The sequence below is a fragment of the Homo sapiens genome, chromosome 15 (assembly GCF_000001405.40).
Source record: "Homo sapiens chromosome 15, GRCh38.p14 Primary Assembly".
In the NCBI taxonomy this organism is placed as follows: domain Eukaryota; kingdom Metazoa; phylum Chordata; class Mammalia; order Primates; family Hominidae; genus Homo; species Homo sapiens.
The window spans coordinates 67,165,623-67,188,592 of NC_000015.10; the positions used below are offsets into that span (position 1 = coordinate 67,165,623).

Sequence of the window (22,970 nt, forward strand, 5' to 3'; positions counted from 1 at the left end):
TCCGCCCGGCCTTGGTGCAGTCATTTATTTTGGAAGCGGAAATAGCAACACTGTTTCTCTCACCGCCCTTGAGGCCCGGACTGGTGTTCAGTCCCAATAGACTGGGGGTCTGCAGAGGCGGGGAGTGAGCTGAGGGCCAGGCAGCAAGTGCGGAGAGCTGGCTCTGTAAATTCGCCTGGGCATCAGGCCTCGGTGAGGGGCTCCAACCTGGGTGGGAATTGAAGTGACTTTGAGTTTTCACTCTGCAGGGAGAAATGGGCTTTGCCGTCAAAGACTGCAAATGTTTTTAGAAGCCCCTCATTTACATGCAAATAACGTGTGAATCACCAGCACTTTCAGACTCCAGGAAAGCTGTGCTTGGCAGCACTTGGGCTAGTCACTTTTGCTTGCTGGGGCAGTAATCCTGCTGCGTTCCTCTTAGAGCATTCTAATTTGGACGTGACGTTCATCCTGGGTTAGTTTACTGGGCTGAGATTGGCTACAGGCCTGTGTGCTTGGGTCAGAGTGTTAAGGAGGAGACCCACTGTCCAACCTTCTCAGATCCTTTGCGGGTAGCCCTGGCGTCCCGCGGGTAAGTCAACTACTCCCTGTTCAAAGAGCAAATCTTGGAGGGCTTCAGTCAGGGTCTGGGGGAGGTTTCAGAGAAATAGATCACACTGTCTTTGCCGTCATTGAACTTGCAACCTAACTGCTGAGTGAGGACACGTCCCTTAGAGACAACAAATAATAACACCTGGTCTGCACAGAAGAAGATAGTAGGGACCAAAGGGTGGGTCTGAGCCTGCAGATCTTCAGAGGACAGAAAGGGGTGAGGCGGAGGCAAGTCTGGACGCCTCCCTGGAGGGGGTGGGGCTTAACCCTCACCTTGAAGGACCAGGATAAGTTAGCCTGGCAGAGGCTCTAGGAGTACACATTTCAGACTTGGGAGTTGATCCGGTCCTGCGTGAGCAAAGGCAGTTATGATCCAAGCGGGAGTCAGAGGTGGACAGGGGCGAGGACAACAGAACCAAGAGCTGGAACCTCTACTCCAAGACCTGGAGCTCCTACAGCCACGGATGCTAGCATCATGGTGTGCATGTGTGATGTCTTTGCAAAAGGTGTCTCAGAGCCAAGCTGTGAAGGCCTTTTAACAGACCACCTTCCTTCTGATTCCCAGAGACCCCACCCCCTGGCTACCTGAGTGAAGATGGAGAAACCAGTGACCACCAGATGAACCACAGCATGGACGCAGGTCAGTCATGCAGGGTCATGCTCTTATTCTTAACTGATTAGCAGCTGGTGGGTTCATCCCTTCCATCCCTTCCTCTTCGCCCTCTCCCTCCCTCCCTTCTATCTCTCTCTCCAGTATTTGTAGAGCAACCGCGATGTGCAAGGGGCAGGGCATAGAAGAGGGTCCGAGCTGCTCACAGATGATGGGGGAGATTGACAGGACAGTCAGTAGTCACTGGGCCATCTCGTGTATGCCCTGATGGAAGATGCCGCATGGCACCAGGCACACAGCAGGGCCACTTCACCCGGTCTGGGGAGGAGCAGCACCTTGCAGTCCAGGTTTTTCCCCAGGTTGAGTCTTGGTGATGTGTAAGTGTTAGCCAAGCTGTTAGAGTGGGCAAGGGGTGTGCCAGGCAGAGTCATGGGGGTTGGGCAGGACAGCCTGGTGCATTCTGGGGACAGTAAGAGCTCAGTGTGTCTGGAGTCCAGAGAGTGTCTAGCCCAGGGAGCTCAGCGTGGCTGGAGGATACACTCTCTCCAGTGGGGAGAAGATGGGAGGGCCTGCCACACAGGGGTCCCAGTGTGGTGGACCTTCAAGCTAGCCAGACCACTTGGCATTTAGTCAGGGCTGATGGGAACCGCTGCAGGCTGTAAGCAGGGCCTGTGCCTTAGTGAGATGTCACCAGCAGCAGGGTAGAGAGTGGCCTTGATCACCTCAAGCAGTCACATGGGAGGCAAGGAGAGGCTGAATGGAACTAATGCCTCTTCTGATGACCAGTGGAGACCCCTGAAGCCAGTATTTTTGTGTGACAACCACATGTGATGTGTGTGCTCCTGCCGTGAGGGGCAGGGCTTATTTCTCTCCTGCTACATCTCCAGATGTTTCCCATATCATTTGTTATAGGACCAAATTGGCTCCAGACCAGCAGCTTCTTGAATTGAACCCCAGCTGCCACATAGAATGTGTACTGAGTTGTGTGTGGTTGGGAGAGGAGGAGAAGGGGAGAGGGAACCACGCAGATGTTCCATTCCGATGGTGGTGGGCATGCCTCGTACACACAGAGCCGCTAGACACAGCAGAGCCACCTGCCCTCGCACACAGCCCAGAAGAGATTGTGCAATTCCTTCCCCCACCTTTCCCAGACAGAGTCTCCCTCTGTTGCCCAGGCTGGCGTGTAGTAGCGCGATCTCAGCTTACTGCAACCTCTGCCTCCTGGGTTCAAGCTATTATCCTGCCTCAGCCTCCCAAGTAGCTGGGATTACAGGCAATGCAGCACCACGCCCGGCTCATTTGTGTATTTTTAGTAGAGACAGGGTTTCGCCATGTTGGCTAGGCTGGTCTCAAACTCCTGACCTCAGGTGATCTGCCCGCTTCGACCTCCCAAAGTGCTGGGATTACACCGCACCTGGCTGAGGTTGTGCAATTCCTGAGAGACCGAAAGAGACTCGCATGTACATTGTAGTTGCTGAAATCCAGCCTGGACATCGTGGCACTTTTGGGTTGAGCACACCCGGTGAAACACACCCACCCGGCGGAGTGACTAGTAGCGCGAACCAGCTGGAATGCATCGAAGACCTTCCTGTATCCGATGCCAAGTGACCGCTGCAAGCTTGCAGCTATTCAGTGCAGGCGTGGGAAGCAGGCCAGCGGAGCAGCATGTCTCCAGCTGCTGTGTTTCTTCCCACTCTGCGCTCCCTCTTCCCTTTCTGCTGCTCTCCATATTTGCACAATGATTATTGTTACAAACAAACATGGACCAGAGGGGCTGGAGATTGGAAAGAGCAGCCCAGATTTCACCCTGTCAGCTCTTGTTTCTTCTCCCTCCTCTTCCTCCTTGTGCCTCCCTTTACTCTGTCCCCTCTCCCTTCTTCCTTTCTTCTCATTAAGTGTGCCTGCAGGGTCCTGTTGTGAACATGAGTGATTTATCTACAGTAGAGACAGACCAGACTTGCGGACCCCAGCCAGTGTGTGGGTGGGGGCTCTCCTGTTTTAGTCTCTGTTCTTCAGAGTTGCCTGCTTGGATAGTCCAGTTGCTCACGGGCTTGGCTTCCCTGCCCCCCAGGGTGTGGTAGTGTCTCGGGCCAGAGGGTCACGTTGTTCCCCATGTCCCTTCACCTACATATGCGCCCTTTTAGACTTGTGAGAAGGCCCCTTGGACTTCCTAGGTCTTTGTGGTTCAGGCCAGCACAAAACAGGGGACAAGCATTTATCCAGTGCCTACCATGTAGCGGTCATGGTGTAAGCATTTTTATATGCACAGTCTTACTTAATTTTTACATGTCACACAGTAGATGATATTATCCTCATTTTATACCTGAGGAAAAAATTAAGGCTCATAGAAGTTAAACGGCTTAGCCAAACTCACGTAGCTGATTCGTGGGGTTGTCTAGACCCTGTGACTGATTCTGTAACTTAGTTCTCTCGGTGAATATTCCACATCCCCCTTTGCATTTGGGGTTACAGGGGAGAAGGAGAAATCCGTGGTTCTTCCCTTGCCCTCAAGGAGGTTACAGCTGAGTTGGGGCAAAAGAAGAGATTCCCACAAACAGCGCAAGGCAGCATTCACTTGAGGCCAGATGCTGGACCCAGTCTCAGGACTGATAGATTTCATGGGGTGGAATTAGACCCCATAGGGTGGTTAACAAATAGTCTCCTTTTTTATTTTTATTTTTTGAAACAGTCTCACTGCTGCCCAGGCTGGTGTGCAGTGGTGCAAACACAGCTCGCTGCAGCCTCCATCTCCTAGGCTCAAGTAATTGTCCAGCCTCAGCCTTCACCACTTACGGCTTATTTTTTTTTTTTTTTTTTTCTGTAGAGACAGGGTCTCCCTATATCACCCAGGCTGGTCTCAAACTCCTGGGCTCAAGTGATCCCCCAGTCTCAGCCTCTCAAAGTGCTGGGATTACAGATGTGAGCCATTGCACCCGGCCTCCGCAGCCTTCTTGATAGAGGAACAGAGGAGCGGGGACGAGCAGGATGCTGCTCTGGAAAAGTGTCCACTGTTTTATTTTTGAAGGCTGATACCATGTGAGTTCTTTTTTTCTGGAGGTGAGAGGTGTAGAGAACATAATAGAGTAAGAATTGGGTAGATTGAGACTTTTTCCCACGTGCATCATCATCTTTTGCATAAAGTGTTTGTCTGGTTGCTGAGTTGCAGGGTTTCTGAGGCAGGTTTGTGAGTTTCCTGAAATTGATCTTTCCAGCACCTGAGCTGCTGCAGCCTCTGACCAAGGTCGGTGGCTGGTGATGCTGGGGAGGCCTCAAGCCCTGCCTGTGTGGGAGGGCTGGCCTCCTGCTTCCTGGGTCTTTGCAGCTTGGGAGAAGGGCTTCCCTGCTCCTCTCATTTTCCTGAGGGCATAGTTAATAGGGCAGGTGGTGTAAGCTAAAGAAAAAATGTGTCACTTATTCTAGTTGAGAATTTAGCAGCCCTGAGCTGGGAGTCTTGGTTAGGATCATAAAACTATCTGAGACCTCTGAGATCATAATCATAAGAGACCTCTGAGATCATCCACTCAATGCATTCATTCCAGACAAGAAATTGGGGCCCAGGGAGGGAAAGTAGAGGCAAGGGTATGGGCTAGGCCTTCTCCTGGGACCCCTCAGTCCAGGGTTTTCTTTCTGCTGTGTTGGGCTACCCCTCCTTGATATGTAAGTGTTTAGTAACTTGGCTCTCCAGGCCAAGAATCTTTTGTGAAGTCTCACAACTTGTCTCACCTCGCAGGTTCTCCAAACCTATCCCCGAATCCGATGTCCCCAGCACATAATAACTTGGGTGAGTATCTCCTTGTGCACACAACTGGAACCCCCTCTAGCTGCAGCCCTGGCGAGTCGCCAGTGTGGGGAGGGGGCCCTGAAGGTAAGGCTCTCCCCCGACCCCTACCATCAGCCCAGCTCAGCCCATCAGGTTTCTGGTTACGGTGATGTTGAGGTCACCACGGAATGGGGAAACTTGAGAACAGTGGTGGCAGGAAAGACAACCATATGCCAGGTTTGTATTTCCCCTGGGGGGCGGGTAGACGTGAGTGAATGAAAATTCCCCCAAACTTTATGCCCAGGAGAACGAGGGTCTGTGGTCAGCTAAGCATACGTGTGCAGTTTGGTGCAAAGCCACGGACAGCCATGCAGACTCCAGCCCCCTGACATTTATAGACCTGTTTCAGATATACTTATTTGAGTGTTTCATCTTATAATTGTGTAATTTTTCTTAAAATAGCAACATATACGGAATTTGAAAATAAAGTCAAAGTGCCCATAATCCCACCACCCTAACATAACTGTCTATGTGTGATTACAGTCCTGATGTTTGTGCATCAGGCATATATATCTCTGTGCCTTGCCACTGAGATCATAGTGCATATCTGGTGTTTTCATTCTCTTTTCTCCTTATGTTATTTTGTAAACACGTTTCCGTATTTAGGTGTCTTGTTTATCGTTGTGTGTTATCTCATGATGTTTTGGAGTGGAGGGTCCATTGTTTCCGCAACATCCCTCCATGGTTAGACTGCTGGGTCAGTTTTTCCAAGACTCAATTTTCTAACCCAGTAGGGTCCTTCAGTTCTCCAGCTTGGGATAGGCTTTGGCATGGAACCTGCCAAAGGGCTTCAAACAAATGAAATATCCATTTAGTTTTTATTGAGGGGAGATTTTTATATTCTGGTCTGGTAGTTTTAGAAAATGTAAGTTGGATTTTGTTTGGAACTTTATTGCTGAGGCTTAATTTGTGGCTCAGGAAAAGAAATAGTTAATATTTCTTGGCGAATCAAAGTGGATTGGACTGGTTTTTGTGCCCATTTGCTTCCAGACCTTGACTGACAGCGTCAGATGAAGAAACTCATCATTTGGAATATTAGGAGATGCTTGAAACCCTTTAGAACAGGCTGACCTGGGCAGTGTGGGATGTGACTTTGGGAGATCTGTTTTAACATTTTTGTAAAATAATATCACCATGAGTGCCGGGCTTTGCAGAGGGAAGGTCAGATTCCTGATATGAAAGGACTGAGTTATTAAAAACAAACTGAAGGCTAGAAGCGAAGTTAACACTTGAGAAATTAAAGGCCATGATGGTGAACTTGACTCCGGGCTTTCAGCTTTTGAGATTGGCTGCTTTAGATTTATTTTCTATGGCATTTAAAAACCCTCCTGGGGCCAAGGTAGCACTTTTAGTCAACAGCCTTCCAAGCAGACACTTGCCTTTGAAACCATAGCAGTCCCAGGGCAGGTTGGAGGTGGCTGATGCCGGACACGGTGCTCCAGACTGAAAGGTGGTCATTTGCTGTGAACTTCCCTCTAGATTGTGTAGACTAGGATGAGGATGATGGGATGTTTCTTGAGCTCTGACCCAAGGCAGCATCCTCTGTTGACATAATTCTCCCTCCCTACTGCCCCTTCCTCGGGCAGCTTGCCTGAAAGTTGAGAATTCTTAGGTTATTTCTTCCAAAGGGAGGACCCTCCCCGAGCCTGGCCAGCAGAGAATGAGTGCCACTTTGCACTGGCCTAGTTGCACCTCTGCTGGGAAGATGTGAATCGGGGGCGAGTCGCCCAGTGAGTCAGGGTTAGGCTTCTGGGTAAGACACCGTGCTGACAGGCCTGGCTTCCCCTCTGCTTCATGAGCCCCTGTGCTCCCCTTCACCCATTCAAACCATTGACTTCATCCCTACCCAGAAGGTCACCTGGACTCCCAGTGTCATAGCTGGAAGGGGGTGAGATGGTGATGATGATGGGAAACATTTCTTGAGAGTTTGCTGTTTACTGTTATTCGGAGTGCTTCCTGCATGTTAACCTGATCTTTATAACTTTATAAGGCAGAAGCGTTGTGATTTTTCATTTTACAGATTAGGAAACCGGGGAACACATTGGTGAACTCATGTGTCCCAGATTCACAGCTAGTGAATGGAGAAGGTGGCTTTGAACTCAGGCCCTCTCACTCCAGAGCGTGCACTCCCATTGTGGCATGACACTGCCTTGCTGGGCCGTTTAGACCACCTGTCCCCACCTTCCTCACTTGGAGGAACAAGGCTCAGACAAGGCATTTGCTGACTTTTACGTTGGAGACGTAAAAGTCTGTGGCTGTGGCTCCCGGGGGGAAGCCCTGCCTGCTTGTATGCCTCTTCCTCACTCCCTCATTCCCAGATACTTCTTGTCTGCCTGCCGTTCAGGTGGGGGATTGGAAGAGGGACCACAGACATAGCCATCGAGGGGCTACGGCCTTGTTGGGATCAATAAGGCAGGACCAAAAATGATTCTAAAACAAGAAGGAGGTGCAGATGAAGTACTCTGAGGGTTCGAGGGATGGAGCGATGGGATTCCAGGCTGGCCAGGCGTCTCCTCTGTATCCATGCGCTCAGTCAACATTGGCTGAGTTCCCACTATGTACTGATGCTGGGGGCCAGAGCTGGGAGAGCACTACACATTTGCAGCCTGGGGGCGGGGAGGGGGGCAGCTGGAGGTGTCCATGTCCACCTGTAATGCGTTGTGCCAGGTGCCCAGGGAGAAAGTCCAGAAGAGGGAGGAATAGTATATGCCAAGGAGGAAAGTGTGGATGGAGTGGGGAGACATGGGAGAGGTTGTGCCATGTGTGAGCGGGCCCTTGAAGGACAGATGGGACCCTGTGAGGCAGAGAAGGATGGAAGGACATTGCAGGTCCAAGGGCATTATGTGGTCTGAGGACAGCTGGCATGGTGGTTGGTTGTTGTCTCAAGAGGGACAAGGTGGGAAAAGGAGGCTGAAATGGCAGGTGGGGCACTGGGAAAAGACCCCTGAGTGTCTGCTTAGCGCCCTCTTGCCTATAGAATAAAGTTGTTTGTGGGTTTTGATTGGGGAGGTTTTCTGATGACAGCTTCATAAAGATTAATCTGGCCACTGTGTGGAATCTAAATTCTAGGGGAAATTACTGGAGGCAAAACAAAACAAAACAAAACAAAAACCCACTTAGACAGCTCTTCCTCTGGAGGAGGCTGAGATAAATGCTTTCGAGAAATGGTAGCAGAGCTGGGAGAATGCATTTGAGAGGGAATCATGGGCCTGAATGAGCAGGGTTTGTTGACCAGCGTTAAGTGGGATGATGGTGATGCCCCCATCGAGGCTGGACACCCAGGAAGTGGAATGGGTTGGGGGTGAAAGATGGTGGTGGGTTGCCTGTGCTTAACTATGTCCAGGAAGCAGTTGGAAAGTCAGGAAAGCGGCTGGCGCTGGAGGCGCAGATTTGGAAACCATGAACACATGTGGCAGCCTTTCCCATAGCGGGGCCTGAGAGAAGGGGTTTGGTGGTTGAATGAGTGTGGAAAGCCTGTATTGTGGCCTCTCCTCCAGCCCCCACTCAGGAGGGACTCACATGGCCACGCTCTGAGGAGCCTGCAGAAGGAGGCCTGTCTGACCCAGCCTTCCTCCCATGCACTGATCACTGTTCCTGTACTTCTGTCTTACCGCCCCATTACCCATCCATAGATCTGACTCTGGAAACACCGATGAAGTTTGGCTGAAGTCATGCCAGTGGATGGATTTAGTGGAGAGGCCGACCCAGCTCAAGATGGAAAGACAGCCAGAGATGCGCTCGGGTGGTGGGGGTTCCTTGGAGAAGGCTGAGGTCAGGGGGATGATGGGGTCACAGCAGCTCAGAGGGGAGGCAAGCCCTGAAGGACAGTGGCTACAAGCGGGCCCTGCAGAGATGCAAAATGAGATTTAAGAAGAGGCCTTGGATTTGGCATCAGGGTTTCAAGGGGGAGCTTTTAGGGAGCAGTGTGTAGGAGGGGAGGGGCTGCAGTCAGTCAGCAGTGCACTGAAGGGCAAGTACCAGGTGGGGAGGTGGAGGCACCCAGCAGCGCAGCCTTTGTGCTGACTCACAGTCAGTGCGTCCCAAACCCTAGGATGGAGGCAAGCACACAGGGAGCTCTTCCTAGGAAAAAATGGGGACATCTCAGGACATCTGATTATTTCCTTTAAAGAGATTATTATGAAATTACTGTACAAAAAGAAAGAAAGCAGAGGACATCTGGTTTCTCCTTTCATTTCCTCCCCACTCCAGGTGTTAGCCCCAGGGCTCAGGTCTGGGGAAGGTTGAGCCTCCTTGCCCCAGCAAAGCCACTTCTGGTAAGGGGCAGGGACTCCTGGTTGAGACCTGGCTCAGCATCCTGCCCCAGGCAGGCTCTCGGAGACCCTGGGACCTGGGACCGTTGTTTGCAGGGCAGGAGATATGAGCAGGTGATGTTCCTGTTATTACACAGCGTGCTGGGTGAGTCACCGGGAATTTCCTAGGCATTTAAGGCGGAAGGATTGGGGTAAATGGAGGGGAAGGAGGAGGCAGGTGGAGAGAGGAAAAAGGTAGTGAGCTGGCTTCTGCCTGGTGAGTAAGTTGTTCCCTGCTTTAAAGTGAGATGATTAGGGCGGAGCCATGACTGAGGAAAATAATGTACCAGGGAGAGCCCTGAGGGAGCAGTTGAGCTGGAGTTAAAGGAGGTGATGGCTTCCAGAGTGCCAGTGGCAGGAGTGAGAGGCAGGGATGGGGCAGCTTGGAGTGAGAGGGATAGGGCAGCTTGGAGGTGGCTGATGCCGGATGCAGTGCTTCAGACTGAAAGGTGGTCGTTTGCTGTGAATTGCCCTCTAGATTGTGTAGACTAGGATGATGGGATGTTTCTTGAGCTTGGACCCAAGGCAGCATCTCCTGTTGACATAGTTCTCCCTCCCTACTGACGCTTCCTCAGGCACCTTGCCTGAGAGTTGAGAATTCTTAGGTTATTTCTTCCAAAGGGAGGACCCTCCCCCCAGGGTGCCACTTTGCACTGGCCTAGTTGCACCTCTGCTGGGAAGGTGTGAATCGGGGGCAAGTTGCCCCGTGAGTCAGGGTTAGGATTCTGGGTGAGACTCCACGCTGACAGGCCCGGCTTCCCCTCTGCTTCATGAGCCCCTGTGCCCATGTGTGAGCACAGGTGTGGTGGCAGGGCGGCCCGAAGACCACCAGCCCTGAGTGTGGACGGCGGCCCAGGGCAGAGGCCCAACCCAGTTCCAGGCATCTTCATGCTGCTGCCCAAGGCTCTTTTACAATGCAGCCTCTGGCTCCGGTCTTCCCCACACTTGTGAAATCACAGGCAGGGTCTTCCCCACACTTGTGAAATCACAGGCAGGCAACATAATGACAGGAAGTCAGCTGTCGGCTCTGTCTTCATACTCCTGAGGGCCCGGTTTTTAGACTTTGCCACTGTTCCTGGTTGCAGTATGCTGGTCATAAGCTAAAAGGGCATGGGGGTCTCTGTGCAGCTTGGTTTGGTATTTTAGTCCGCAGATACATAGGTTGGAATTAGTACCCTGGGTGCTGGGACACAGCTGGCGTGGGCTCACAGAGACCTCATCCTCTAGCATAGGAGACTCAGGTACACAGTTTCTGGGACACAAGGTTAATTCTGCACTGAGGCAGTGAGGGAGTGTTTCACAGCCGTGTGAGCTGGGCCTTAAAGATCGAGTCCCTGCAGAGGAGGGGGATGGGCAGTCCAGGCAGAGGACCCAGGCAGGACTGAGAAGTGGTGGATGAGGAACATGGGAACTGGAGTGTGGAATCTCCTAGATTGAGGAAGAGCTGCCTTCCGCAGGTGAGGTGGGCCCAGCAGAAACCAGCCCATTTCTGTTTTGACCTTTCGTCTTGCAGCAGCAGTGCTCCTGGCCTTTGCCCGTTCCTTGCTTTCGATTTATAGGAGAAAGTTAATTTCCCCCCTTGCCTCCCCACCTCTTCCTTTACGGGATTTGAATCTCTTGCACATGTTTTTAATAGGCATCCCTTAATCCAAGTGTTGCCTTCTGGGTTTTATTCTGTTTTCTTTTTCTTAAACATAATGGAACGTCTGTGCCAGCTTGGAACAGGACTGAAAACTGAGGCCAGCCAATGCGTTAGGCTGGCAGGGGGCCAGCCATGGATTAAGTGCCCTATGGCACTTGAGAAGTCTGGCCGACACCACACTGGTGGGGGAGGGGGATCCACAAAGGCTGGAGCTGGAGGTTCCTGCGTCTCCAACACCTCTGCACTGGGAGGAGAGATTAGCACAGACTCAGAAATCTGGCCAGGAGCAGGGCTGTTTGAAGGGAAGGCCGTGGGCACGTGCCATCGTCTACCACCCCAGCTGTGCAAAATGCTCAGCCTAGAGGTGAAACTGCTCTTCAATGGGGTGTGTCACCTTACCCCCCGTAGTCATTCTCCTAGAGGAGCCTTCTATAGAACTGCTTCTGCATTTGTTGGTAAATCCTTGAAACCAGATCTTAATTTGCTTGCTTGCTTGATCAGTTGATTGATTGGTCAGGGGAGGGGTTGCCACCTCCCCCTGAGAGATTTCTTTTAAGATTTAATGCCAGGACAAACTTTGTTTTCCCTGAGGAACTAGTAAGCATTGCCCATCCACCAACCAGAGCCATAGACCATGTCATGTTCCCTTTTTGTCTTGTCTACTAGGAAGCTCAGAGCCAAACTGGATGCTTTTGCAGTAACTATAACCTCATGGTTATCCCATTTATAGCCGCCTTCTTTCCAGAGTCCTTTTTGTTTCTCTGGTACTAACCAGGGTAAGGATAAGTACTTTGGGAAAGAAATGAGGGCATATTTAGTGTTTTGGGTTTTTTTTTTTTTGGTGTGTGGCAGAGTCTTGCTCTATCCCCCAGGCTGGAGTGCAGTGGCGTGATCTTGGCTCACTGCAACCTCTGCCTCCTGGGTTCAAGTGATTCTCCTGCCTCAGCCTCCAGAGTAGCTGGGATTACAGGCACCCGTCACCACACCCAGCTAATTTTTGTATTTTTAGTAGAGACGGGGTTTCGCCAGGTTGGCCAGGCTGGTCTCGAAATCCTGACCTCAAGTGATCTGCCTGCCTTGGCCTCCCAAAGTGCTTGGGATTACAGGTATGAACCACTGCATATGGTCTGTTTTTTTGTTTTTTTTTTTGTTAAGGAAAAATGTGCCATTGAAGGCAGAACCCACAGGTGGTGACCATACTTTCTGGTCTGCCACTCCTCTTGCACAAGTTCTGGGAGGAAGCAGCTGAGGCATGGTGGGCGGGAGGGACCTAGAAAGGAGGGAAATCACGGCTGGCTTTTAGTTGTTTGCAGAGAATAGAAAGCGCATGGCTGGGGTGCTGCTCTGGCTCAGTCCCGCTTCTGAACACAGGGCAGCTTGTCCAAACAGCACTCTCTGAAATGGCAGCCTGCAGACTTTGCCACTGGCCTGATTTCACTGCTCCCTCAAACAAGCATCTTCTTAATGATGTGTCAGGTTCCTAGTGTCCGGGGTTTTCCACAACACTGTCCGGTGTGTGTCTGTGAGTTGCAGGGCTGTTTGGATAAGGGCTCAGATCTGCTTGGGAGGGCCTCTCGGCCTATGACCCCAGGCCTGTCTTTGATTCTGAGGGTCCTTGAAGCCCACCCTTCCCCAGAGCATGGTTCTAGCACCATGCGACACAATGGGTGGCCTGCCAGCTTTTTCTTTTTTTGAATGGTGGGCTGGGTTGCCGTTCCTGGGAGCCTAGCTCTTTCTCTTCTGCCTGGACTAAACCCAGAGAATGCTGGGCAGGGCTTTATGATTTTGGGGTGAGGACCCTGTTCTGTTCTACACATTGCTGAGTAAGTCAGGGCCAGTCAAAGCTATATGTTCAAGCTGACCCGTGCCAGAGAATGATCTAGGTGGTCAGCTTTATTGTAGCTTTATTGTCTTCTAGTGTACCACAGTGATTGTACGGACTACAAAACTGAGGTTACAGAAGGAGGTCATGTCCCCAAGGTCACACAGCAGGATCAGCAGAGCCTGCGCTTGGGCAGTGGTGGCCAGCAGCACTGATACATTGCTTGACCACTCTGAATGCTTGGGTTGCACTTGGATTTTTTTTTTTTAAGTTTCCAAATCAACATAGCTCACATTTTAGTGACCACATTGTTTAGAATATAGCTTATCTCATTGGAATGTTGAAGCATCAAGCAAAGCCAGAGCCAGACGTGGCTGACGTGGCTCAGCCTCACCTCAGGGGCCAGGGCACAAGCCGCAGCTGCTCCTGGCCCTGTCATTCCTCCCTTCCCCATTAAGTACTTTTGATGCCTTCATCCTTATCTTCCTTTGCTCCACCCCAGGAAGAGAGAAAACGACAAGAATGCTTTGCCTCTCCATCTTGATGGTGATCAAGATAGGACCAGGCTATTTTCAAGTTCACAGAATCGGGCTATTATCATTGTTGTTAACACCATGTGCTGAGTGTTTGATGCGCGCCCTGCACCTCACATGAGTTATCTCTGTCTGTCCAGAAACAGCGCCGAGAGTAAAGAGGATGAGGCCCACAGAGTGTAGCTGGTTTGCTCGCAGTTGCATGTCTAGTCTGTGCCTGAGCCAAGATTGACCTCCAGTCTGTCTGGAGGATGGCTTTATAGCTTGTGCCCCATGATCCAGTTAAATATCTAGGGCAATGGTTTTCAACTGGAGGCCGTTTTGCCCCCTAGAAGACATCTGGCAATATCCGCAGCCTTTTTTTATTGCCACAACTTGAGAGGGTGTTATGGATGTATACTACTAGCACCTAGTGGGTAGGGGCCAGGATGCTGCTAAACATCCTGCAATCTGCAGATCCTCCCTCCCACCCATCCACCCACCCAACAAAGAATTATCTGGCCCCAGATGTCAGTAGTGCTGAAGTTGAAAAACCTGACCTAGGGTGTCCTAATCCTCCAGCTGACACTTCCTGGGTGTGTGTGGAGTGCAGGGGTGTTACTGGCCTGCCCCTTCGCCATTCGTGATAGTGTTCTCCTTGCTCTTAGAAAGGATCATGCACCTAGACTCCAAAAGGGGATTGGGACACTCTGTCCTGCAGGGGCAACCAGACCCCTTCCAGTGGGCAGAACAGCTTCTGACTTTTCTCTCTTGGGCTTTACACACCTTCAGAAGGTCTGATGAGCAGGGATCCTCCCAGTGGGTTCCCCCTCCTAGACGTTGCCTGGCATCCAGTGAGCAGGGTTCTCAGGCCAGGGCTGAGACGTGGGCATGGGGAGCGTCTCCTGTTCCTCCCTGAGGAGGAACCCTCAGCCCCATGCTGAGGGTTAAAGCGAGGGAGGAGAGATGTCAGCCTGGGCCCTGGGACCTCATGGTCAAGTTGGACAGTCAGGATGCTCACAGAGAGGCACACCCTTAGTAACTGCGTCGCTTCGGGTATATTTAAGAGCCAGAGGGACTTCAGAGGCAGGCTGAAGCTTTGAGATGGAAGAGCGAGAATGAGCAGGGGACTCCCTAATTCTTCAGCAGATGGATGGAATTCAGGTAGGCATCAAGCAGAGTGTCGTAGGCTAAGGGCTCGCGCCCAGCAGTCAGTGCAGTGCAGAGAAGCAGTTGGAAGAGGTTGGCCCAGGGCGCAGGGCAGTCCTGGTCCAGAGGCTGTGGCATCGGTGTGAGTGGGAATTCCGAGGGCCCGGCCAAGGGCTGAGAGAATGGGCCTGGAGATGCTGCAGAGGCGTGCAGTAGGAGGGCACAGTGCCAGGGCCACTGGGCCGGGGCAAGAGGAGGGCGAGGAGGCCCCAGGAAATGGAAGGCTGGGATCCATTTCTAGTGTGAGGAGAAGCTGCCATTTACTCTTCTGAGAAAGAGAACCAGCCCCTTGTAGAATGGCAGTTTTGCTTTGAGGAGCCCCTAATGGAGACTGTACAGACAACTGGGACAAATACAGATTTTCTTTCAGAAGGGTTTGTGTCCGAGCCACCCCAACAGCCGGCATCTAGATAAGTGTGGAAAATAGTTTCTGTGATAGGAGGCATGGCCCCAGGCTCAGTCTGCAGATGATGCCTGGTGTGTCCACTGCGCCAACATGGGGCGCTGTTGGGAACCCACTCGGCTGCTGCAGGCTTGGAAGCTGCTGCTCCACAGGCTGGGAGTTTTTGCCCCCAAGGCTGTGCAGAGCCAAAATCTGAAAGCCCTTTTAGGGGCAGGGATTAATGTGGGTTACTCTGGGGACCTTGCAACAGAGGCTGAGAGGTGACTGTGCAGGAGGTGTGGCCTGCCCCACAGTGAGTACACGCAGTGGCTGTCCCAGGTTCATCCAGGTACTGGGTGGCCCCTGGTCCTCTTCAGGTTTGGCCCAGCCCCTCCTTGAAGACTCCTTCCATCCAGTCAAGGCCAAGCAGGCGGGGCAGGGCCTTTATGAGCTAAATAAATAAATAAATAAATAAATAAATAAATAAAAAGAGAAATCAATGGCCCTTTACACACAAGGCTGATGGAATCTCCTCCAGACACCTGAGCATCTTGTTCTGGTGGCTCTTGCCAGTTTTATACGATAAAAGGCATGGGGTAGGGAGATTATAATCCCTCTGAAATGCGGGGAAATGGTTTTCCAGAGTGTCCATGGGACCCCATCGAGGGAGCATGGGGCTTGGGACACCCAATGACCCAGTAGCCCACCCTGTGTCCACAGACCTGCAGCCAGTTACCTACTGCGAGCCGGCCTTCTGGTGCTCCATCTCCTACTACGAGCTGAACCAGCGCGTCGGGGAGACATTCCACGCCTCGCAGCCATCCATGACTGTGGATGGCTTCACCGACCCCTCCAATTCGGAGCGCTTCTGCCTAGGGCTGCTCTCCAATGTCAACAGGAATGCAGCAGTGGAGCTGACACGGAGACACATCGGTATGGGGTGGCTCCATTCCCCGCCCCCCCACCCTGCCCCTGCCACTCTATCCCACCCCCAGCCCCAGGCCTGAACACACAGCCTCTGAAGGGAACCTTGCGTCCATCCTTAGCTGTGCTCTGCCTCCTGCTGGGCATGGGGGAAGACTCACTGCCCCAGCAAGTCCCCTACACTCTCTGTTGCCCTGTTTAGGGGCCAGACAGGTAGTGTTCAGGCCACTTGATCATTCCCACTCAAAGATATAATCTCAGAAAATCTGGAAGCCACAGAGGAAAATAGTTCATCTAAGGGATCAAGAAGGGAACGTCTATGAGAAAGGCAACATATGAAATCTATTTTTTTTTTTTTTTTGGAGACAGAGTCTTGCTTTATCCAGGCTGGAGTGCAATGGCACAATCTTGCCTCACTGCAACCTCTGCCTCCTGGGTTCAAGCGATTCTCCTGCCTCAGCTTCCCAAGTAGCTGGGATTACAGGCACCCAACCACCACGCCCAGCTAATTTTTGTGTTTTTAGTAGAGACGGGGTTTCTCCATGTTGGCCAGGCTGGTCTCGAACTCCTGACCTCAGGTGATCCACCTGCCTTGGCCTCCCAAAGTGCTGGGATTACAGGCGTGAGCCACCGTGCCTGGCTGAAATCCTCTAAATAAAAATACTCTGAAAGTACAGATGGATAGGTTGATAAGTAGGCAGTCATTGTTGGAAGAGTGATCTTCTCTTATTTTCATGTATCATTATTCTAAACAATTTAGAAAAGGTAGAAAAGAATTGTCCACTATCCAAACACCACTACTGTGAACCTTCTGCCTTCTAGCCCCCAGAACATAAGTAAAAGATGACTTTGTGAGTTTAAGGAAGATGAAGCTGTGTTACGCATCACTTGGTTTGCTTATGAAGTTATCAAGCTTAGAGGATTTTACGATCCAGAATCACAACTGTCAGAACTTAGAAGGGCTGTAGAGAGATGGCAGAGTGAGGTTTTCTCAGACCTTGTCCTGGAGCCCCAAGGGTTGGCAAAGGGTTCCTGCGGCAAACTCAGGAGGTGGGCAGGTTAGCAAAGGGAAGCCTGGTCCCACGTGAACCAGGGCACCTCTGCACTCGCTTGCTTTATATCTCGGGCTCTCACAGAAGACTTCATTTGAAGAGAGGATTGATTCTGTAGTGAAGAGAAGAAAAGTTTGGAGGCCATGGGCCTAGGTCTGTGCTCTCATTTTCTAGGAAAGGGACCTGATGTCTAGGGGGTTGGGGAGGGTAGGGAACGGCTCTGCAGAGACCTCATTGTCAGTGACAGACAGCCACCACTACCAGACCTGTTGTTCCCATTTCGCTTTTTGTTTTTTACTTCAAAAAAGATACTTATTCTGGGTGGCATACCACTGTTTGATTGATTGATTGATTTAGAGATAGGGTCTTGCTATGTTGCCCAGGCCCAGTCGCAAACTCTTGGGCTCAAGCTATCCTCCCATCTCAGCCTCCTGATTAGCTGGGACAATAGGCATATACCACTGCAACTGGCTTTTTTCTATATTTTATTAAAAAAAAAAAAAAATATATATATATATATATATATATATATATATTTTTTTTTTTTTTTTTTTTGGAGCGGGGAGACCAAGTCTCGCTCTTGTCTCCCAGGCTGGAGTGCGATGGCACAATCTTGGCTCACTGCAACCTCCACCTCCCAGGTTCAAGTGATTCTCCTGCTTCAGCCTCCTGAGTAGCTGGGATTACAGGCATGTGCCACCACACCTGGCTAATTTTTTGTATTTTTAGTAGATATGGGGATTCACCACGTTGGCCAGGCTAGTCTCGAACTCCTGACCTCAGGTGATCTGCCCGCCTCAGCCTCCCAAGGTACTGGGATTACAGGTGTGAGCCACCATGCCCGGCCTATTTTTTTAAGTTACTGAAACGAAACAAACATTTTTGGTCTGGGTCTTCGCATCCCCACCTCTGCCTTCTGCTCTTACTGACATGATACAGTTGTGGACAGCCAGGAAGTCATCCCTCCTGTGGACTCTGAGCCACCAGCACCCTGCAGAACTAAAGCCAGAAAAAATGGGGAGTGGTTGGAGGAAGGGGACAGTAGTGGGAATAGGAGGCAGGACAGGGGACATCCAGTGATGCATGGGTCGGTCACCTCGTGTTCATCCTACCGGATGCTGGGCCTGTAATATCTGGCTCCGTGTTCTGACCTCTGAGCTTCTTCCCCAGGAATGGAGCAGAGACTTTGCCATGCAGGAGAAGGGACCATCCCCTGGCCGAGCAAAGAGCTCATTGTCAGAGTTTACGCAACTGTTTGAGTTGCAGAGCCAATTTAAAAATAATTTCTGTCCATCTGGAGTGGATTTAAGAGATGAAAGAAAAGTAAATGATATAAACCTCTGGAATGTTTTAGAAAAATGCATTGAGGGAAGAAAAAAATAAGGGCATAGCGTTAAACCATCCCTGCAATAAAGGGCTCCTTGGGGTGTCTGCTGCATCAGAAGGAGCCCTGCAGGTTTACTGAATGAATCTCTGAATCTTGGAGTGTGAAGAGACCAAATAATAGTGGGGTAGTAGTAGCAGTAGCAGCAAGAAAAGCTGACACCAGGCACTTACTGTGTGTCTCACAGTAATCCTGCAAGGGTAGAGGTTATCATCATTCCCTTTTTTTTTTTTTTTTTGGAGTTAGGGTCTCACTCTGTCTCCCAGGCTGGAGTGCAGTGGTGTGATGGGAGCTCACGGCAGTCTTGAACCCCTGGGCTCAAGCAATCCACTCACCTCAGCCTCCCAAGCAGCTAGGACTACAAGGATATGCCACTATGCCCAGTTAATTAAAAAAAAAATGTTTTTGTAGAGATGAAGTCTCATTACATTGCCCAGGCTGGCCTTGAACTCCTGGCCTCAAGTGATCCTCCCACCTTGCCCTCCTAAAGCTCTGGGATTATTGGTGTGAGCCACCGCGCCTGGCCCCCATCCCTATCGTAGAGACAAACGAAGACTCAGAGGGTGAATAACTTGACTGAGGCCCATGCCTACTCAGTGGCAAAGGCTGTCACTGAGACCTATCCTGTGTGCCCATCTCTTGTCATCTGCCTCCCTTGGCTTTAGGAATCCGGCAGTGCCCATTTCCCCTACTTTAGGCTTGGGCTTTGGGGCCCGTTTGCCTGGGGAAGCTGGCAGTCACTGGGAGCAGCTCTGCTGTTCTGCCTCCTTTGCGAGCCTCAGGTGGCCCCAGGGCCATTGTGTGTGAGCAAAGGCACCCTGTCCAGTCTAACCTGAATCTCTGTAGGAAGAGGCGTGCGGCTCTACTACATCGGAGGGGAGGTCTTCGCAGAGTGCCTCAGTGACAGCGCTATTTTTGTCCAGTCTCCCAACTGTAACCAGCGCTATGGCTGGCACCCGGCCACCGTCTGCAAGATCCCACCAGGTAAACGAGCCGCACAGGCACCCCTGCCTTGAGGTCCCTCTCCGAGTGCATGCCTAGGATGCTGGAGAGAGTCCACCTTTCTCACCTTTTCTGCTCACTCATGATTGCGTTGTCAATCTGGAGGTGATTGGATTAGGTTTTCTCTATGCCCACAGATCTAACTGTGCTTTCCCTGAACTTCCAGGGAGCAGATGTAGCATCTGATAGGTCTGCCTTTAACCTGTGGGTACCTGCCTGTTGCCCTGTGCGTAGATGCTCAGGCAGTATGGCTTCCTTTCTTCACTCATTCATTGCACAAACAGCATGCAGGGCTCTGTGCCAGGTGCTGTAGGGGATGAAGAGGTAGATGCGGCCCTGCTCTGCCCCCGCAGACCTTACAGGCCTGCAGAGCACAGAAGACAAAGACACGGATGAGTTCAATATAAGGGACGGGTGCCAAGCACCAAGCCAGCAGCCCAGGTAGAGAGAAGGCCCATTTAGCTGTTGGGATGGATCAGGGAAGTCTTCATGGAGGAGAAACATCCGGATCCTGAAGGATAGGTAGGCACTAGGCACAGGGAGGGCATTCTAGACAGGGGGAGCAGCCCAGGCAAAGGGCCTGAGGTAATGGAGGGCAGGACATGGATGGGTAGCTCTCTGGCTGGAGGAGGGTCATGTATGAGACCGTCAGGGGAAATGTTTCAAAAGCACAACAGCATGAGGCCGTGGAAGGACACCAGAGAGTTTGACTCTAGGGAACTGCTGAGGGTTTTCTGAGTGAGCCTGAAAAATCCCACCTGTACCCCAAGAAGAGGTGTCAGGCTGCACCCCCGAGAGTGGTTTGGACAGGGCCACGCCTGGACAGCAAGATCAGGCAGGTGGCTGATCCCATCTAAGGCCTCTTTCCTCAGGAAACCAAGGCAGAAAGCCCCAGCCAAAGTCCACTTTTCACAGGACGTGCAGCCACTGTGTAGGCAGCCCACAGAACATGGCCTGTGACAGACTAGTGGAGCAGGTAACCTGGCCAGGCCATTGCCTGTGGCACGTGTGTGGCATGCCCCTTCCTGCCCACTGAGTAGCAGATGGTAGTGGAGAAGTGGTAGACCACAGGCAGGGGAAACTTTAGAATGCAGAAAGTCTGAAATGATAATAGCACACCAGGTTTCCAGAGCATTTTGTGGTTGCATTTATAGAGTACATTCCGATCGTTGACCTCATTTAGTCCTCACCAGTTATTCTCTGGCTCTATAAGTAAGGAGACGCTTTGAGAGACAAGTTCAGAGAGTTTCAGCCACCTGCCCAAGCGCACACAGCTAGTAAGTGGCCAAGCCGGGATGGGGCCTAGGGCTGATGGACTCTCAAGTTTGGTGCTCTTCTGCTTCTTGGCTCTGCTGGGGGTCAGGGCCCAGGTTCAGCCCTGTTCCACCACCCTTGTCCTTGGAGAGAATGAAGAAGAGGAAGCTCAGTGACGCTCTTGGCCTTCTGCCTCTTCCATTCCCCGGCCCCACCCCCATCTTTTGGGTGAGGGCTGAGTTGGCTGTGGTGTTGTTTGTCAGCTCATAGAATGTCAGAGCTGGAAGGACCTCTGAGGCCAGCCCTTCATTATACAGAGACACAGGGTCCCCAAGAGAAAGCGACCAGCTCAGAGTCACACAGCAAGAACAGGAGCCTGCTGTTGGCTCATTCATAAGCGTCACCCCGGCTCACCTTTTGGCTATTTCCAGCATGTGCTTTTGTCTTTATTTTTCTGGTTGACACATTCCTGGCACTCAGGCAGTAAGACTTCAAACGACATTTATTTTAAACTTTATTTGTGACTGTCTTTAGTTTTACTGTCTGGAGAATCAGATGCACACCTTCACTTAGCTGTGAATGTCACCTCCACCCAGCCCAGTGCCCAGAGGCCAAAATTTGGCCCAGATCTCTCCTTACCTCCTAGCCCCAGCACCAGGTGTATTCATCAGAGGAGCCCAGGTGGAGGGTGCACTGGGCCCTCTGCCAAGCTTCCTGTGGGGACGGCAGGCCCAGTAGCCTTTCGGCCAGCCCGTCTCTGGGGGCACTGCCTGCTGTGGAACGGCCAGAGCTCCTGTTCCTAGGTGGGTGACCAGACCCCACACAGCATGGGCAACCTGGCCCAGGTCCCTTATCTCTCTGTCCCCTGGTCCCTTTGCCCAAGGAAAGGCCCCCCTCTCCACACCATCTCCCTATTTTTGGAAGCCCTCTTTGCAGACTTCTCCCTGCTCTGGGAGTCGGAGCTTGTGGGCCAGCCTTCCATCTCCCCTTGCAGGTATGTCAGTGGCACCTCCCAGTGAGGAGATGGGTTCAAGGGGAGGGACTGGGTTGGCCTTCCCTTTGCATGGTACTGAGTGTGGAGTGTGTGGCAAATGCATCACACACCATGTGTCCCTGGAGCTGTATAAATGAGGCTGGTCTAGGGGGTCCAGGACTTGCTTTATCCAGGAGGGGAGCAACGGACCTGGCCACTTCCATCCCCACAGCCCTGTTTCTGTGTTTTTGGCAGGATGCAACCTGAAGATCTTCAACAACCAGGAGTTCGCTGCCCTCCTGGCCCAGTCGGTCAACCAGGGCTTTGAGGCTGTCTACCAGTTGACCCGAATGTGCACCATCCGCATGAGCTTCGTCAAAGGCTGGGGAGCGGAGTACAGGTCAGTTATGGGTGCTGCCTACATCAGGGGACCCAACTCCAGGTGACTCTGGACAGCAGAGCAGGCAGGGCTCCTCAGAGATGAGCTAGGCCAGCCCTAGCGTCAAGAGCAGAAAGACCAAAGATCAGAGAGAGGCCAAGGCCTGGCAGGCAGGAGGGGCCGGGCCAACAGCAGATGATGAGGAATTGCAGAACGATGTTTGCTGGCACCGAACAGCTGTAGGCACTGTAAACACACGCTCCATCTTATCCTCATCCCAGCCCTGGGTGGGGATGCCAGCATCATCCGTACAGATGAGAGAACTAAGGCCCAGGGAGGGAGAGTGACTTGCCTGCAGTCACACTGGTAGAAGAGCTGTGTCTAGAACTCTGCCCTCTTGGCTTCTTCCTTAGTCTCATTTTAGGCAGATGGCTTTAGGATGACCCTCTTCAGGAAGTTAGGTCTTCAGCTCATTGTTCCTCTCCTCCTCTGTTGCTCCATTTCTGACTCAGGGACCCTGGTGATGCTGAGGAGCCCAGGATATTAAAACTGAGAGTCCGGGAAGGGAGGAGGAGATTTGGGTAGTTATAAAGGAACAAAATTTTCTCGCTGAGAAATGACTTTTTTAGAGTCCTACATACTGGTTTCTTTTTCTTTTTCTTTTTTTTTTTTTTTTTTTTTGAGATGGAGTCTCACTCTGTCATCCAAGCTGAAGTGAGTGGCACCATCTTGGCTTACTGCAATCTCTGCCTCCAGGACGTGCCTCAGCCTCCCAAGTAGCTGGGACTACAGGTGCGTGCTACCACGCCTGGCTAATTTTTTGTATTTTAGTAGAGAGGGGGTTTCACCATGTTGCCCAGGGTGGTCTCGAACTCCTGAGCTCAGGTGACCCACCTGCCTCAGCCTCCCAAAGTGCTGGGATTACAGGCGTGAACCACCATGCCCGGCCCTAGATACTGGTTTAAACATGGCCCTGATATAGTCAGGTCTACCTGGTCTGCTTGGTTGAATCTCTCAGGCCATCCTGCTTTGGGTTTAGAGAATCCAGTCCCTTTTCTTTCCACTCACGGACCAAAGTTTGCGGAGAGGCAGGGCTGTGTGCCC

At 51.6% G+C, this 22,970-nt stretch overlaps 1 protein-coding gene across 11 annotated transcripts in view, besides 4 other annotated features; it reads left to right on the top strand.

Annotated features, from left to right (window-relative positions):
- Positions 1-22,970, top strand: part of SMAD3 (SMAD family member 3) — a 129,568-nt gene that overhangs the window by 100,021 nt on the left and 6,577 nt on the right. For 7 of the 11 annotated variants that reach the window (NM_005902.4, NM_001407012.1, NM_001407014.1 and 4 more), the window contains 5 exons: positions 1,157-1,231; positions 4,932-4,982; positions 15,619-15,831; positions 19,105-19,242; positions 21,743-21,887. In NM_005902.4, the coding sequence (NP_005893.1) occupies positions 1,157-1,231; positions 4,932-4,982; positions 15,619-15,831; positions 19,105-19,242; positions 21,743-21,887 (622 nt within the window). Of the gene's footprint in view, positions 1-538; positions 572-908; positions 1,070-1,156; positions 1,232-4,931; positions 4,983-15,618; positions 15,832-19,104; positions 19,243-21,397; positions 21,509-21,742; positions 21,888-22,970 lie in introns of those variants that run through there. The other 4 variants (NM_001407011.1, NM_001145104.2, NM_001407017.1 and 1 more) reach the window with 4 other exon arrangements.
- Positions 1,231-1,900: an enhancer, noted in NCBI's record as "H3K27ac-H3K4me1 hESC enhancer chr15:67459191-67459860 (GRCh37/hg19 assembly coordinates)". NCBI's record gives its function as "activates a minimal SCP1, AML or CMV promoter by ChIP-STARR-seq in naive H9 embryonic stem cells {active_cell/tissue: H9 hESC(naive)}" and the evidence as "EXISTENCE:reporter gene assay evidence [ECO:0000049][PMID:30033119]".
- Positions 1,901-2,572: an enhancer, noted in NCBI's record as "H3K27ac-H3K4me1 hESC enhancer chr15:67459861-67460532 (GRCh37/hg19 assembly coordinates)". NCBI's record gives its function as "activates a minimal SCP1, AML or CMV promoter by ChIP-STARR-seq in naive H9 embryonic stem cells {active_cell/tissue: H9 hESC(naive)}" and the evidence as "EXISTENCE:reporter gene assay evidence [ECO:0000049][PMID:30033119]".
- Positions 2,573-3,242: an enhancer, noted in NCBI's record as "H3K4me1 hESC enhancer chr15:67460533-67461202 (GRCh37/hg19 assembly coordinates)". NCBI's record gives its function as "activates a minimal SCP1, AML or CMV promoter by ChIP-STARR-seq in naive H9 embryonic stem cells {active_cell/tissue: H9 hESC(naive)}" and the evidence as "EXISTENCE:reporter gene assay evidence [ECO:0000049][PMID:30033119]".
- Positions 10,431-10,480: an enhancer, noted in NCBI's record as "active region_9625". NCBI's record gives its function as "activates an Ori minimal core promoter by ATAC-STARR-seq in GM12878 lymphoblastoid cells {active_cell/tissue: GM12878}" and the evidence as "EXISTENCE:reporter gene assay evidence [ECO:0000049][PMID:35858748]".